Below are 14,225 nucleotides of genomic sequence, written 5' to 3' on the forward strand. Positions count from 1 at the left end.
CAATCAGTGTTCTCTCCGCTTTGAAGATTTGTCTTTTAAACCCTTGGCCTCACTTTACCTGATCCTCCTTGTCGGGGCATTCAAGAATTTTTTTAGTCTGTATTGACCCCAGTTGGACTCATTGTCGTGAAAGGGAGAGCAGTAATACCATTTTAACACTCTGAGGATACATACCTCTTTTGGATACCCTAGCCAGTATTCCTCCCTGTCTTTTTCTTGGTTTGCTGGTTAAATCAGCTGTGAAACTCATTTCAAATATGTGGCCTAGGGGAGAATGATTATAGTCTAGAGTGGATCGTCTAACATCTCTGTCCAGGATGCTGAAGTGGGTTTTCTCTGGAAGCCAGGCCCATGACAGCTTTGCACTCTGAAGACCTACTGTCAGCCTTCTTGGCTGCTGCTGGCTTGTTCAGGGACAGGGTCTAGGGCTGTACCAGGTATGCCTGTGGTCTTCAGGGCTACCAGCCTCCTGCTTAAGGGACATGTGGGTCAGGCCAAGAGATCTTGGCCAACAATGAGACAGAGAACCTAAACTCTGAAGGCTGGGGAGGAGGGTTCTCTGGTTAACCACAGATTGGAGGATTGCCTCGGGGCCTGAAGCCATAGGCTACTCAGGCTGAGGGAGGGATTGTAAAGCCAGTGGTTTCACCTGTTTTGGCCTAAACCCCAAAAGTGGGTTCCAGAAAACTCTGGGTATGAGAAAGAGGGAGGGGGAAGTTGTGTGTTTGTGTATAGAGGGTTCAGAGCAGGCCCCTGGCCAATCCTGGCACTTCCATTCCACCAGCTTTGGCGGTGACAGGTAAGTTGATGATGCATAGCTGTCTCCTGGGCTAGGTGGAATTTCCAAAGGGGAAACCCATACTACAGGCAAAATCCCTGCAGTTCCTGGATCTCAGCCCAGAACCATCTTTTGCCTTTACTGGTTTTTCCTGAGTGGTCAGATCTCCCCAGATTTGGCTCTTCCAGCCTCCTGTTATGTAGGTTGGCCTTAGAAATGCTCATCCTTGAGAGGGAAGGAGAGGTTGTCTGCAGAAGCCAGGTGGGCCTTTGTAAGCCAGGATTCTGTGTTTGTCTGGCCAGGACTCTAACTCCTACCCTGGGATGTATGTGATTGGGCACAAACTCTCAGGTATATCGGGGCTTTGACCTACATTCTGTGATAACCTGAGTAGCCTTTTGAGATGATGTGGGCATCACAGCTGTGGAACATCAGAAGAGGAAAAAGAGGTAGACCAGAGAGGAAGCTGAAGCCTCTGCAGAGGACTATAGGACTGCTAAGTCACGCACTCAGTGTACTGATAGATCACAGCTCTGCTGACTTCCCAAACAGCCATAGTCTAGAATGGTTGGGGCCATGGTGGGAATTTGGGGAAGCTTTCTGGAGGTGGAATGTCTGAGTCGGGGCACAGAGGATGATTAAAAGAGTTGGGGCTTTGTCCTGAGGAGAGTGGGGAGTCATGGTTAGGTTTTCATCCGGAGGAATGTGGATAAATTTGCCTGGCTAGTAAAAGGCTGCAGAGGAGAGAGAAAGGTGGAGTAGAAGGCCACATTGCTTCAGGTGTCTCTTTGGGGTCCTCTGTTGGAGGTGGGAAGCCTCTGGAATGAGATGCTTTCTGGCCTTGTCCCAGAGGGCCTCAAAATGGAGTACAGAACAGGAACTGACTGGCCTGCTGTGAGGCAAACAAGTTGCCTTTCTGGAGGCTTCTGGGGAGCCTCCGCAGGGCCATGTTGCCCAAGCCCACCCCAGAGTAGGGCACTGTTGCCTGGGAGTTCCGTTAGAGGGCTCTAACAGCTAGAGCCAGGCCAGGCATCAGTTAGAATCAGGGCTGGATGGGTTGACGTCACAGTCAGAACATGTCGTTCTAGTCCTCATTTGCATCCTGGTCAGCAGGTGCCACACTTTCGCCTGAAACAGAAACCCAGGGCTAGAATAGTCTCCCACCGTAACCTGTGTCTTATTTGCAGGCCTTGGAGGAAGGATGTTTCTTTCCTTCATCCCCAGCCAGCCATCCCTAGAGCCTGAAGCCCATTCCATTCTTGACACACCAGCCAGTTCTCTTCCTATAAATGTGGTTCTTTTGACTGGAATTCACCTCACTCTGAGCCCAAAGTAAATCTTTCCTCATCAGCCTTCACTTTGCTCCTCAGATCTAGCTAGGTTTCTCCTGCTGCCAGTATGACCCTGGTGAGCTGTGACAAGTGAGAGTAGACAGGGACAGTGGGGCTTGAGAGATCCTGGGCTGTCACATCATCATTCGTACCTGCTGTGTTCCCTCCTCCCTCCCTCAGACTGTTATACACCAAAACTCCCCATATAGCTTCTCTGAGAAACCCAACTCTTGTCCCTTAGTCCATGTCACAGGGTTCAGGGAACACAGACAGCCACATTTTCTCTTGGAATCAACATCTTCAAGCAGGGTGGGACTGGGAGAAGCAGAAGCTAGGCAGAGGGAACCAAAGCAGCTGGAAAAGCTGACCTAGCTGTTGTGCTGGTCTCATAGCAACAGCTGCCAGCAGCCCCCAGCGACCACAGAAGTGCTGGGCTGGCCCAGGGGCTGTGACCTCACTGTGTTTGCTGTGGCAACAGCCACCAGCAGCTAATTCCCTTTCCTCCAGGAAAGCCAAGTATTTGCATTTCTGCTGGTGTGGTTTAGATACTCTTCTTCCCTTCCCCAAACGAAGGAGTAAGTGGAGGGAGGTGCAGTCTTAAAAACCACTGCTGAGTTGATTCTCAGCACCTCAATTCCAAAGTGCCTGAGAAGCCATCTCTGAGTCTACCCACTTCCAAGGACAAAGGCCAGCTATTTATAAGTCCAATCTGCTCCACCTCCATTCCTCTCATCCCATGAAGCTGCAGGGGCTAGCCGTCTTGGCAGCATTGCTTCTCTTCTCTGTCCCCTCATCAGGACATTGACAGGGCAGTTGTACCACATGGAAGACCTCCAGGACTGTCACTCCATGCCCTCGCAGTTCAGAGGAATCAAAGTAGGATCACTTAGGGGCAAAAAAAAAAAAATGCAGAATGGTCTGGGGCCATATTCACCCTGGCACCTACCTACTCTGAGCTTTTGTGTCAGAAGAAAATTATATTTAGCTGAGGAAGCCAAACTCTTTCTTCCTATGACCAGATGCCACGTTCTGCTTTGGTTTTAGGAATGGAGTCAAAGAAGAGTAGTGGGGAGAGGGGACTTAACTTTTCCTCTGTAACATGATGTTCCTTTTCAAACCATTTGTGGCCCAAGTGCTCTTTGTGGGCCGGTGTCCAAGACCCCAAGAACAGTATGTGTGTGCCTGTCACCCACATGACTGCCCACATCCTCCTTCGTGAGGGTAGGGACACTTTCCCTGGGGGACAGGGAAGAACATTTTTTCCTGGCGCGTGTTTCAGGGCCAGAGGATCTGGTTAGTTTAAGCAACTGCACCCACGGCCCCAGAACTTCCAGCAGATTTGTGCTGGAGTCCTTGGCCCCTGGCTAATCCACATCCAGCACCCTGTTCCTATGTCTTAGAAGACGATCTCTTGAAACCTTGTTTTTTCCTCAAGCTTCAATTTTCCTTGGTATTTTCCATTGGGAAGCCTCTCCTGGATAGTCAGTCCTGTAGGTCTTATTTTCAGATCCACTCTGGGTGTTGACTTTTCACTGCCCACTCCTTTGGCACTAGCCAGAGATTTTTACATCTGCAAATGCTCTCCAGAGCCAGGACGAGGGTGATGATCCTTGTCTTTCAGACGAGGAAATTTGAGACTCAGGCTACTTGGGGACTTGTCTGAGTCTCACAAATAGTAAAGGGCACAGCGGGGATTTCAAGCCCAAGTTTCTTCCCCAAAGCCTGTGTTCATTCCACCCTGTCTCACTGTTCCTGCTTTTCTGCTTGGGAGGTCACTATAAGCTTAACCTTTTCTTTGGTCTGAGTTGCTTCAAGTCAACATGACAGTATAAATATCTACCCAGTGATGACCACATCAATGGCAGCTCACAGTTGTTGAGTGTTGGCTATGAGCCAGGGCCTGGGCTTAGACGAGGGCTTTTACTCACGTGGACTCATTCAGTCCTCACAGCAACCCTAAGACATCCATGCCGTTTTCCCTTTTCAGGGCTTGATTTTACAGAGGAGCAGGCTGAGGCTGGGCCATCCCAGTGCACTGCCCGCTTCCTGTCAAGGTGTCTTCTGCCCTGGAGGCCACCTGTGTCCCCCTACTTGAGTAGTTTCTTGCACTTTGTCAATTGCTTTATGGACATTCTCTTACTCAGTCCTTGCCAGCCCAGGGAGGGAGGCTTTTCAACCCCGTATTACAGATGAGGCAACTATAAGGACTGGCCAAGGTATGTTAGTAGCCACACCAGGACTTGACCCTAGACTCTTTGCACCCAAGCAGGCCACATCTTCAGAATACATTTTTTTTTTTTTGGTCCATTTGTATATACCCCTTTACAGACTGTTTTCCCCATCTGTGGCTTCTTTCTTGGGTCCCTATTAGAGCCACTAAAAAATTGTTTAAATGCAGTTAAAAACTCCTTACTCCGTTTCTGCTGAGTTCCTGAGTTTCCATAGGGAGGGTACCTGTATAGGTGCCTGGGTCTTACTTCTAGAGGTTCAGGCTCAGGAAGTCTCAAATGAAGTTTGAGCTGCTCACTTTTTAAGTAGTGTCCTCGTGATTCAAGTATACAGGCTGAGTCTATGGAACCCTGAATCCAACAGAGGTAGGCCCCATTCCCAAAGGGCCCGACATGAAGGAGGTGTTCGGTAAATGGAAGCCGATGTTGTTACTGCTCTCAACCACATATGTGCTAGAGCACCGCTCTGCCAGCACCAGCCCAGGACACACCTGCCATCACTTAGAGGAAGGGAAGGAAACATTAGGAGCAAAACTGCACTTGCGAAAAGCAGAGTCTCCTGATGTGTAGAGCTTGCTGGTTAGAAGCTTGTGGGTGAGGCTGATGTTTCAGAGAAGGACTGAGGGAATAAAAGAACCAATGTTAATAAGAACAAACTACAAAACTGTCCAAAGGAGCTGGTTAATTAGTAGCATAGCTAATCTATAGGTATTACACAGCCATTAAAAAAGAATACTGCACAGAAAAACTTCAGAGAAAGTTTCACGTTACATGAAAAAGCCTCAGGAGGATGTGCATAATACAATTCTTTTTGTGTAAAAAAATCACATAGATATTTCTAAAAGTGCACGGAAGAAATTCATTCTTCATTCTCTCTGGGAAGTAGGGCTGGCACTAAGGGAACACAGGGGTTTTTCCTCTAAACTTTATGCCTTATACTGTGAATTTTTTTACCAAGAGTATGTATTAGCTTTTAGAATAGGGAAAAGAAATTGTAAGGTCCAGTACCAAGAACAAATAGGATTAAAAAGCAAAGTCCCAACCATTAGGAATCCTTTGCCCTGTGCCTGTCTGCAGCCACTTACCTAAGTCAATTCATTTGCTGAGGGTGACTCAAGAATCTTCTAAGTAAAGAAGAGCTGTTTCCTGAGTTTCTCTGCTTACAAGGAGCACTGATATCCTTTTCTCAGTCCCTGGCCTACATAATACCCCTCAGAGGAAAAAACCAACTCTTAATGTACCATCTCTTGCCTCTTCTGTTACCTTACCCTTAGACAAATGTTTATGGGTCAGCCCAGAGACGAAAAATGAGACCATTTGAAGGCTTCCAGCGCAAAGCTATTGTAATTTGTCCCACTGACGAGGACCTAAAAGACCGAACAATAAAGCGAACCGACGAGGAAGGGAAGGATGTCCCAGATCATGCGGTCTTAGAAATGAAAGGTAGGAAATGAGTGCTTCCCAGAGGAACGTCAATGCAGGGTCCTGGAGAGAAGAAGCTCTTTACTCAGTTTGTCCTTCCCTGGCTCCCCAGTGATTTCTTTTTTGATCTTACTCTTTCTTTGCTTCTGCTTTGTCCCTTCCTTGTCTACCACAGCTGTGAATGGAAAAGCTACCCATCTGTCTTATGTTGGGGTTTTCAGGCTGGATGGGGCTGGGGCAGCACAAGGGAAAGGATGTATGGGAGCTAAAGCTGAAAGTCCTGTGTGCTCACCCTGCCTCTGGTCCCAGATGGGCTGACTGTGGGCAGGCCTCAGTTTGTTTCTCTGTAAATATAGGGATGGTGATGCCATCTGTCTGACCCATTCCCTGGGGTGAGGCCTGAGGGAGCTGTGCACTGTGTCTAGGTGGGTCTTAGCCACCTCTTCAGAAAACGGAGGAGTCTTTGTTAGCCCCTGACACTTAGCAGGCTGAGGGGTTGGGGCTTTGTCTACCTCTTTCTCTCTCTCTCTGTTTTTTTTTTTTTTTTTTTTTGGAGAGGGAGTCTTGCCCTGTCACCCAGGCTGGAGTATAGTGGTGCGATCTTGGCTCACCGCAACCTCCGCCTCCTGAGTTCACCCAGTTCTCCTGCCTCAGCCTCCCGAGTAGCTGGGACTACAGGTGTCCACCACCATGCCTGGCTAATTTTTGTATTTTTAGTAGAGATGGGGTTTTGCCATGTTGGCCAGGCTGGTCTTGAACTCCTGACCTCAGGTGATCCACCCGCCTCGGCCTCCCAAAGTGCTGGGATTACAGGCGTGAGCCACCGCGCCCGCCCTTCTGTCTATGTCTTTCTTATTCACTATTCCAGTTTTCTTCACCTTCTCCCTTCTGGAAGGCCACTCTTCTGGGTGGAGGGGACCAGACTTCAGAAGGTACTGACCTCTTCTTCTTGTTCTCTTTGGGGCACTTCCTTCCTCCTAGCCAACTTCACGTTGCCAGATGTTGGGGACTTCCTGGATGAGGTTCTGTTCATTGAGCTGCAGCGGGAGGAAGCGGACAAGCTAGTGAGGCAGTACAACGAGGAAGGCCGCAAGGCTGGGCCACCCCCTGAAAAGCGCTTTGACAACCGAGGTGGTGGTGGCTTCCGGGGCCGCGGGGGTGGTGGTGGCTTCCAGCGCTATGAAAACCGAGGACCCCCTGGAGGCAACCGTGGCGGCTTCCAGAACCGAGGGGGAGGCAGCGGTGGAGGAGGCAACTACCGAGGAGGTGAGACATCTCACACACAGCACTCTCCACTTTCTGTTCCCAGGTTGGGGCTGGGCTTTGACTGCTTATTCAATCAGCAACTGAAGTTTTCTGAGCTCCAGCTGTGAGTTATACTCTGGTAGAAAACTTGAAACAAGTCAGACACGGAGACCTCAGAAACGCTCCCACTTTCCCACTCCCTGGACGCTGGTTATGAAGCCCTTTGCCCATTTGCATATCACAGTGCACATTCTGTCACATTGCTGTCATTTTTGTGAACCTTCCCCCATCTGACCATGAGCTCCTTGGAAATAGGATCTAGATCAAAATCTATTGGAAATGGGGGCTACATCTTTGGCCAGGTCTGAAGAGGACTAGATGTGACTCGTTCATGGCTGTCACCAGTGCTTAGCTTCCTCTCATTTTTTTTTTTTTTTTTTTTGAGACGGAGTTTTGCTCTTGTTGCCCAGGCTAGAGTGCAATGGTGTAATCTCGGCTCACTGCAACCTCTGCCTCCCGGCATTCAAGCGATTCTCTCGCCTCAGTCTCCTGAGTAGCTGGGATTGTAGGCAAGCACCACCACGCCCGGCTAATTTTGTATTTTTAGTAGAGATGGGGTTTCTCCATGTTGGTCAGGCTGGTCTTGAACTCCTGACCTCACGTGGTCCACCCGCCTTAGCCTCCCAGAGTGCTAGGATTACAGATGTGAGCCACCGCACCCTGCCAGCTTCCTCTCCTTGAGCATCTCCTTCCTGCATATTCAACAGCTATTGAGATGCTGGGACACAGAAACCCAGGACTGCCTTGGTCTCTGCCTCACCATTCTTGCAGTCCAGTGAATGAGACAAACCTGTCATAAGGGCTGGGACAGGGGAGTATGCCCGGGGGTCTAGAGAATCCCAGAGGACATGCTTTGTTGTTCACCTTGAGTTCTTGCTCTGCGCCTGGCCATGCCGGCTCACAGTAGTCACCAAGACAACCCAGTTCCCTGGGGTTGCCATTTGGGAATGATGGCGCCTTTCATCTGGATTTCTCCAACACAGGTTTCAACCGCAGCGGAGGTGGTGGCTATAGCCAGAACCGCTGGGGTAACAACAACCGGGATAACAACAACTCCAACAACAGAGGCAGCTACAACCGGGCTCCCCAGCAACAGCCGCCACCACAGCAGCCTCCGCCACCACAGCCACCACCCCAGCAGCCACCGCCACCACCCAGCTACAGCCCTGCTCGGAACCCCCCAGGGGCCAGCACCTACAATAAGAACAGCAACATCCCTGGCTCAAGCGCCAATACCAGCACCCCCACCGTCAGCAGCTACAGCCCTCCACAGGTGAGAGAATGAGTGTGTGTTTGTATGTAGTGATCGCACGTGTGCTTTTGAACCTGAGCAAGTTAGGTGGAGGCGGATCTGGGGAAATCAACACATGCCCCAGCTACTGGTCTTCACTCTAACCTCTAGCCTGCCCTTCTTTCTCCCTGGCCGTGATCTTGACTCAGATGGACCCTACACATTCCCAGATCCCCTCCAAACCCAGGAGTAAATGTAGACCTTCCCAGAACCTGCTCTTCTCCCACCACCCTCAAGGGGATGGGCTGTAAGCACTGATCCCTCCAGCAAGTACATTATTCTTGGCTAGTGTCACTAACCTCACTAAATCCCCAAGAAAGCACTTGACTGGAGTCACCCCTTGCCCAGGCTGGCTGACCTCTTTGTCTTTTGGACATAATAACCAGGGCACTAAGGTTGCTGAGGACTTGCCCTCTGCACAGAGAGCTTCAATCCTGAGCAGCTCCAGGCTCAGTTCCCATTCTTGGAAAGCCAGTGCCCTGGCTCTGGTATGCACAGGCTCCTGTAAACCAGAGAGGTTTTCAGTTATCGCACAGCCATTTCCCAAGCACTTTCCTCATGCCGGGCCTGGAATCAGCTGCCAGGAGACCAATGGATGGTTCCCAGGCCCAGCTAACTAGAATATTTCTTAGAACAAGAGTTGGGCAGGCACAGATCCAAACCCCCAGCCCCACAACATCCTGTTTCTGTGAGCTTGGACAAATAGCTTCCCGTCTCTGGGCCTCATTTTCCTCATAAAGGTGTTAGTAGAAGTCCCTTCCAAGGTTTGTTGTGAGGAATGGGTGGCACTATAGCTCTGGGACTAGGCAGACCTGGGGTCAAGTCCTTTTTCCTTGGCCCAGAAATTTCATCTTGAGCCTCAGTTTCTTTCTCTTTAAAATGGGGCTAGTGGGACCTACCCCTAGGTTCTATATGGAGATTATATGATGTAATGATCCAACCTGTACTTGGGAAGCACTTAGTCAATTGCCACTACTGTTTCTCAGCAGATCTTCCAGTAACAACTACCACCACCTGTTGAGTACCCAGTGGTTTATACACACAAGCTTATTGGATACCCAGGGCAAGCTAAAGGAGTTGTTCTTGTTCTATTGTGATTCTCATTTTATAAAAAAGAAAACTGAGATTTCAAGAAGTGCCGTGTACCTTGCTCCCTGGGGGTCTCAGAGCTGGGGTTAGAGTCCACATCACAGCCCTGGGGCTTGCCCTTCATCCTGCCCTACCATGGCATGGAGCTGGCTCTCCTCCTTCTCAGCCCACAAACAATGTCCACTAGGCAAGGGAAGGGCCCCTGTGGGCCAACCACTTAAAAAGGCCCTTTTTCCATCCCAGCATTTCACATCTGCAGATTTCCTCTATTTCACAGAGCTTTGGCTTTTTTCCCTCCACTTTCCAGCCGAGTTACAGCCAGCCACCCTACAACCAGGGAGGTTACAGCCAGGGCTACACAGCCCCACCGCCTCCACCTCCACCACCACCTGCCTACAACTATGGGAGCTACGGCGGTTACAACCCGGCCCCCTATACCCCACCGCCACCCCCCACTGCACAGACCTACCCTCAGCCCAGCTATAACCAGTATCAGCAGGTAGGTGCCAGACTGGGGGCCAACTGGATGGAGAGACTTCCATGGGCCCCTCCTGGGTGTGTATTCCCAGACTTAAGTCCCTGCTTATCCCTAAAAAGACAGCCTGCTGGCCTCGGCCTGGCGTTCATCTGGTGCAGCCATTCCATTTGGTCAACACTTCTGCACTGGTTGCTAGGTAATTGGTATCCTAGCCCCCTCCACAGTCTAGCAAGTGAAGGGGAAGGGCTGGCCTAAGTACCAGGGGCCTCAGAGTCCTCTTTCAGCACCATAGACAGGGGGCTCCAAATCCTGCTGCAGGTTGGTGCCCAGGCCCCCATACCTGTTACTAAATCTTTTGACTATGATATCTAGCTATACCCAAAAGGCACTGGGTTGACAAGCTGAGACCTGGGCTTCAGTCCCTAACTGCCTACCTGTGTGGTGTCAGGTCTTTCCAAGGTGCCTTGATTTCTCTGTCAGGGGACCTGTGTTCAACTGTTGTCACTGCAGCTGTCTCTGCCCTAGGTGAGGGTGGGGCTGGTGGGGAGGCTAAATGTGTGGTGGATGCAGGACAACTTGGTGTTCTTGGTTTCTTTCCCCAGTATGCCCAGCAGTGGAACCAGTACTATCAGAACCAGGGCCAGTGGCCGCCATACTACGGGAACTACGACTACGGGAGCTACTCCGGGAACACACAGGGTGGCACAAGTACACAGTAGCCAGTGTGACCCAGAGGCTCCCGGAGGCCCCTGCCGGCTTCCTCCACCAGCGCCTGCCTCGGCCCCTCCTCTGCCCCCGCCAGATCCCGTGGTGCTGGGGATGGGGTCATCCCAGGGCTGCCTCCCTCCAGCCCACTGCCTCCCCTCTGAGGGGCTTCCTTCCCCTCCATAGGGCCAGGCATTTTTTTCTGGATTCAAACAGGCAACAATGACCTTTTATTTTCTGTTTGTCCCCACCTCCCCAGCCTTCCACCTCCTGTTCTTCCTACCTTCTTCCTTTTTGACTAAATAATCCCCACCTCCCTTGATCATACAGTGAGGCTACAGTGACTGAGGGGAGAATCCCCTCCTGTTCACTCTCCCAACCCTGCTCCAGCCCCTCAGCTTCCCAGACCCTCATGCAGTTGGTTGTAAATTCTCCCAGGAGCTGTTTTACTGTCTACTTTTCAGGATTAAAAAAAAAATCAAAACTTAAAAAAAAAAAAGTTTAAAAAGCAAAATGGGGAGGGGGAGGAAGCAGTGACTTTTTTTTGGTAATTATGCGCTTTTTTTTAATTTTTAGAATTTGTCTTTTTACTGTGGGTGGGCTGTTGATATTTCATCAAGATAAGCATTTCTTTCCTGAGTTCAGGTGACTGAGGAAGAGCCACAAAACAAAACACAACAAAACCAAACCACAGAATCATCTTTAACCCAACTTTTTATACGATGCCCCAGTTCCCCATAACTTTGCACACAAGCTTCTGTGTTCAGTTGAATTGTAACTGCTTTTTGTATTTGGAGAGAGTGACTATTGAACTTGAAACCTTTTATTCCGGGCGTCTTGGTAGTTTCTGGTGGGATTCAGTGGGTGAGAGGGAAGAAGGGGAGGTTGGGGGGCTCCTTCCCTTCAGAACTTGAAGTTTCTCCCACTGCCTCCTCTCCAGTGGTCTCCCAGGTGCCAGACCCAAAAGCTTTTCCTACAGTGATACCCTTTATTTTTACTTCCCCTTGACTCATATGTTTTAACATGATTTTAACAAACTGCACTTATTAAGAAATGTGTTTGCCCTGTTTTGTTTGGTTTCGTTTTGTTTTCTTTGAATAAATGACATGGCACCTCCTAGCAGGAAGGAAGCAGGGTTGAAACCCTGAAGTGTTACTGCAGTTGGCCGTTAATTGGGGTGGGGGCCTCTTTAAAGGGAAATTATTTACTCATTCATTAAACAACTTAACTGAGGGATTCATGTGCCTGGCCCCGATTTTGGTGCTAAAAATGCACGCTTAAACAAGGGTCCCTGGTTTAAAATCCACTAGTTCATTTTTAAAGTGCTTCTCTTGTTCTCTACCTCTCACAGTCTAAAATCCCTCCAGGAGTTTTTGAGTAAAGGACATGGAACAGGCCTCTAGGTGGAGGGATGGGTGGGACTGATGGGGCAGAGACCAGGGCTGGTTTGTTTGGCATCATCACTGGGCATCCACAGACCACCTGCCTCAGGCCTGGCCTGTGTGCAGCACGGAGGACAGTTCCTGCCTGTTCTGTGTTTGGGGCTCATGGGGATTCCAGGAGCTTCATGTTTCAGCCAGTGTGTGTGAGCCACCTGCTGTGTTCTTCAGCTGTCCTGGACAGTGCTGGGGACATAGTATGGCCACGGCAGTCCTGGACCCCGTTCTCACAGAGCTCCCACTCCAGAGAGAACAAAGACCTGCCAGCACCAAGTGGTCAGCTGTGAGAGCCTGGGGTGGTGTGCAGGGAGGGCTTCCTGGAGGAGTGAGCCAGGGTAAAAGACTCCAGATTGCATCCCCATGGCCCATCTTCCCCTTCCTTAGCAACCTTATGTCTTCGTTCCCTCATACATGCTGTGTTCCTGGCTCCTTGTGAGAGACAATGCTGGGCCACAGGAGAAGCCAATTCAGCCCCAATCTTCCCTGGTGGGAGCTCAGAGCCTTGTGAAGGGGAGATGGGCAACAAAAACAAGGGAGGGAAACTGACTAGTCTCAGAATCTCGGGTAGGGCATCAGAACGTGAGAAGGAACCAAGGTTGGTGGCTAAAAGGGACCCTAGAATGCGCCAGAGAGGAGGTGGCAGGGCCTTTAGTCTGGAAAGTCCCCTTCCCTTCATGTCCATATGCTGGGCTACAGCGCCCTCTGCTGGCCTCTCCTGGTAATGCCTAGGAATCTGGGTTGGTAAATAGGGACCTCCTTGGCTTTCTTCCACAACTCCAGACCTCAAGGGAATGCAAATGGGGAAGCTCTTCCTCTGTTCTCAGCCAGTTTTTCTCACACGTCTCATCTCCAGTCCCTTGATGCCCACTCCCTTCAGAATAAAGGAGGTCAAGCCACTTACTATGGCTTATGAGGCCCTGCATGGCCTAGCACCTGGTAACATCGCTGGCGCCCTCTCTTTCTGCTCCCCCTTTGAATATCAAATCAGTGTTTATTTTGTTCTGAGGAGCCATAAGTCCTTTTTGGAACCCACAAATGATGCCATGAACCACTGCATTGGAGAATACAGAGGTACATGGAATTTTGCATAAAAATTCATGAGGTTCTCAAAACCTCCACAGCCCAATCATGGCTTTCAAGTTAGAGCTCCTTTCCTATGCCCTGACCGTAGTGAAGTGCTTGCAGCAACCAGAACCGTCCGTACGTGCCATCCTCCTCAAGACTCTTCCCTACCTTCCTCTTAACCCAGCTCCTACTCGTTCTTCAGGTCTTAGCTTGAGGGTACCCTCCCAGAAAGAAGGCTTCCTTGACCCTCCAGCCTGGGGTGGACAGCTCCCTCAGCCCTCTGGATCCATCAAAGCCCTGGCCACTGAGTGACATGTCTGTCTACTCTGCTGGTAACACCTAAATAGAGCCCCACCCATCCCATAGGGAAATAAGGACCAGAGTTGTCTTGTTTCACACCTGTAGATTTCCTCCAGGTCCTGGGAACACAAAATGGGAAGTTCTATCTCACTATCCATCTCATGCCAGCCAGAGACAGGGTATGATGACGGAAGTAAGCCAGGCTGGTGGCTCACGCGCGTAATCCCAGCATTTTGAGAGGCTGAAGCGGGAGGATTGCTTGAGGCCAGGAGTTGGGGACTAGCCTGGGCAACAAAGTGGGACCCCTGGCTCTACAAAAAAATTTTAAAAATTAGCCGGGCGCGGTTGTGCGCGCCTGTAGTCCCAAGTACTCCAAAGGCTGAGGCAGGAGGATCACTTGAGCACAGGAATGTGAGGTTACTTGAACTGTGATCGCGCCACTGCATTCGTCTAGGCGACAAAGCGAGACCCTGTCTCAAAAAAAAAAAAAAAAAAAAGAGTCAAGGCTTAGTAATATTCCTGAATTCCTGAAGGAGTTAAGAAAGGAAAAGGACAAGCGGGGGTCTAAACGAGAGCACGAACCCTCAGCGTATGACGGCTCCAGGCTCCGGGGGAAAGTCCTTTAGCCATCCATCCCAAAATTAAGCACGCTGGGAGCTGGAGTCACAGCAGTGATAAAACGAACAATGATTCTGGTTCCTACTGACTGACAGGAGAGGTTTAAGGGTCTCTCACTCTCCGGGGAGCCCCTTTCCTTCCTGGCTGCGGAGGGCGGAGCCCGAGAGAGGCACGCA

The 14,225-nt window shown here is 50.3% G+C and overlaps 1 protein-coding gene and 1 long non-coding RNA gene across 19 annotated transcripts in view, besides 4 other annotated features; one reads left to right on the plus strand and one right to left on the minus strand.

Annotated features, from left to right (window-relative positions):
• HNRNPUL1 (heterogeneous nuclear ribonucleoprotein U like 1) overlaps positions 1-11,863 on the plus strand; it is a 45,231-nt gene extending 33,368 nt beyond the window's left edge. For 8 of the 18 annotated variants that reach the window (NM_001439172.1, XM_011526395.4, XM_011526393.4 and 5 more), the window contains exons 11-15: positions 5,612-5,780; positions 6,741-7,025; positions 8,048-8,337; positions 9,722-9,943; positions 10,525-11,863. In NM_001439172.1, coding sequence (NP_001426101.1) covers positions 5,612-5,780; positions 6,741-7,025; positions 8,048-8,337; positions 9,722-9,943; positions 10,525-10,641 — 1,083 coding nt within the window. In that variant the 3' untranslated portion in view covers positions 10,642-11,863. The remainder of the gene's footprint in view (positions 1-5,611; positions 5,781-6,740; positions 7,026-8,047; positions 8,338-9,721; positions 9,944-10,524) is intronic. The other 10 variants (NM_144732.5, NM_007040.6, NM_001321208.2 and 7 more) reach the window with 3 other exon arrangements.
• Positions 2,320-2,614: a silencer, noted in NCBI's record as "tiled region #15507; HepG2 Repressive non-DNase unmatched - State 14:Gen5'". NCBI's record gives its function as "represses a minimal TATA promoter and a strong SV40 promoter by Sharpr-MPRA in HepG2 cells {active_cell/tissue: HepG2}" and the evidence as "EXISTENCE:reporter gene assay evidence [ECO:0000049][PMID:27701403]".
• Positions 4,564-5,763: an enhancer, noted in NCBI's record as "BRD4-independent group 4 enhancer chr19:41806393-41807592 (GRCh37/hg19 assembly coordinates)". NCBI's record gives its function as "activates an origin of replication core promoter dependent on BRD2, P300/CBP, MED14 and CDK7 cofactors, and independent of BRD4, by STARR-seq in HCT116 cells {active_cell/tissue: HCT116}" and the evidence as "EXISTENCE:reporter gene assay evidence [ECO:0000049][PMID:35650434]".
• Positions 6,717-7,056: an enhancer, noted in NCBI's record as "active region_14672". NCBI's record gives its function as "activates an Ori minimal core promoter by ATAC-STARR-seq in GM12878 lymphoblastoid cells {active_cell/tissue: GM12878}" and the evidence as "EXISTENCE:reporter gene assay evidence [ECO:0000049][PMID:35858748]".
• LOC105372401 (uncharacterized) lies at positions 11,615-14,125 on the minus strand. Its single transcript, XR_935968.4, has 2 exons — positions 14,014-14,125; positions 11,615-13,901 (listed from the first exon to the last, which is right to left on the minus strand). It is a non-coding gene; the product is annotated as an uncharacterized LOC105372401 (long non-coding RNA).
• Positions 12,841-13,020: an enhancer, noted in NCBI's record as "active region_14673". NCBI's record gives its function as "activates an Ori minimal core promoter by ATAC-STARR-seq in GM12878 lymphoblastoid cells {active_cell/tissue: GM12878}" and the evidence as "EXISTENCE:reporter gene assay evidence [ECO:0000049][PMID:35858748]".

This window comes from Homo sapiens, chromosome 19, assembly GCF_000001405.40.
Source record: "Homo sapiens chromosome 19, GRCh38.p14 Primary Assembly".
Classification (NCBI taxonomy): Eukaryota; Metazoa; Chordata; class Mammalia; order Primates; family Hominidae; genus Homo; species Homo sapiens.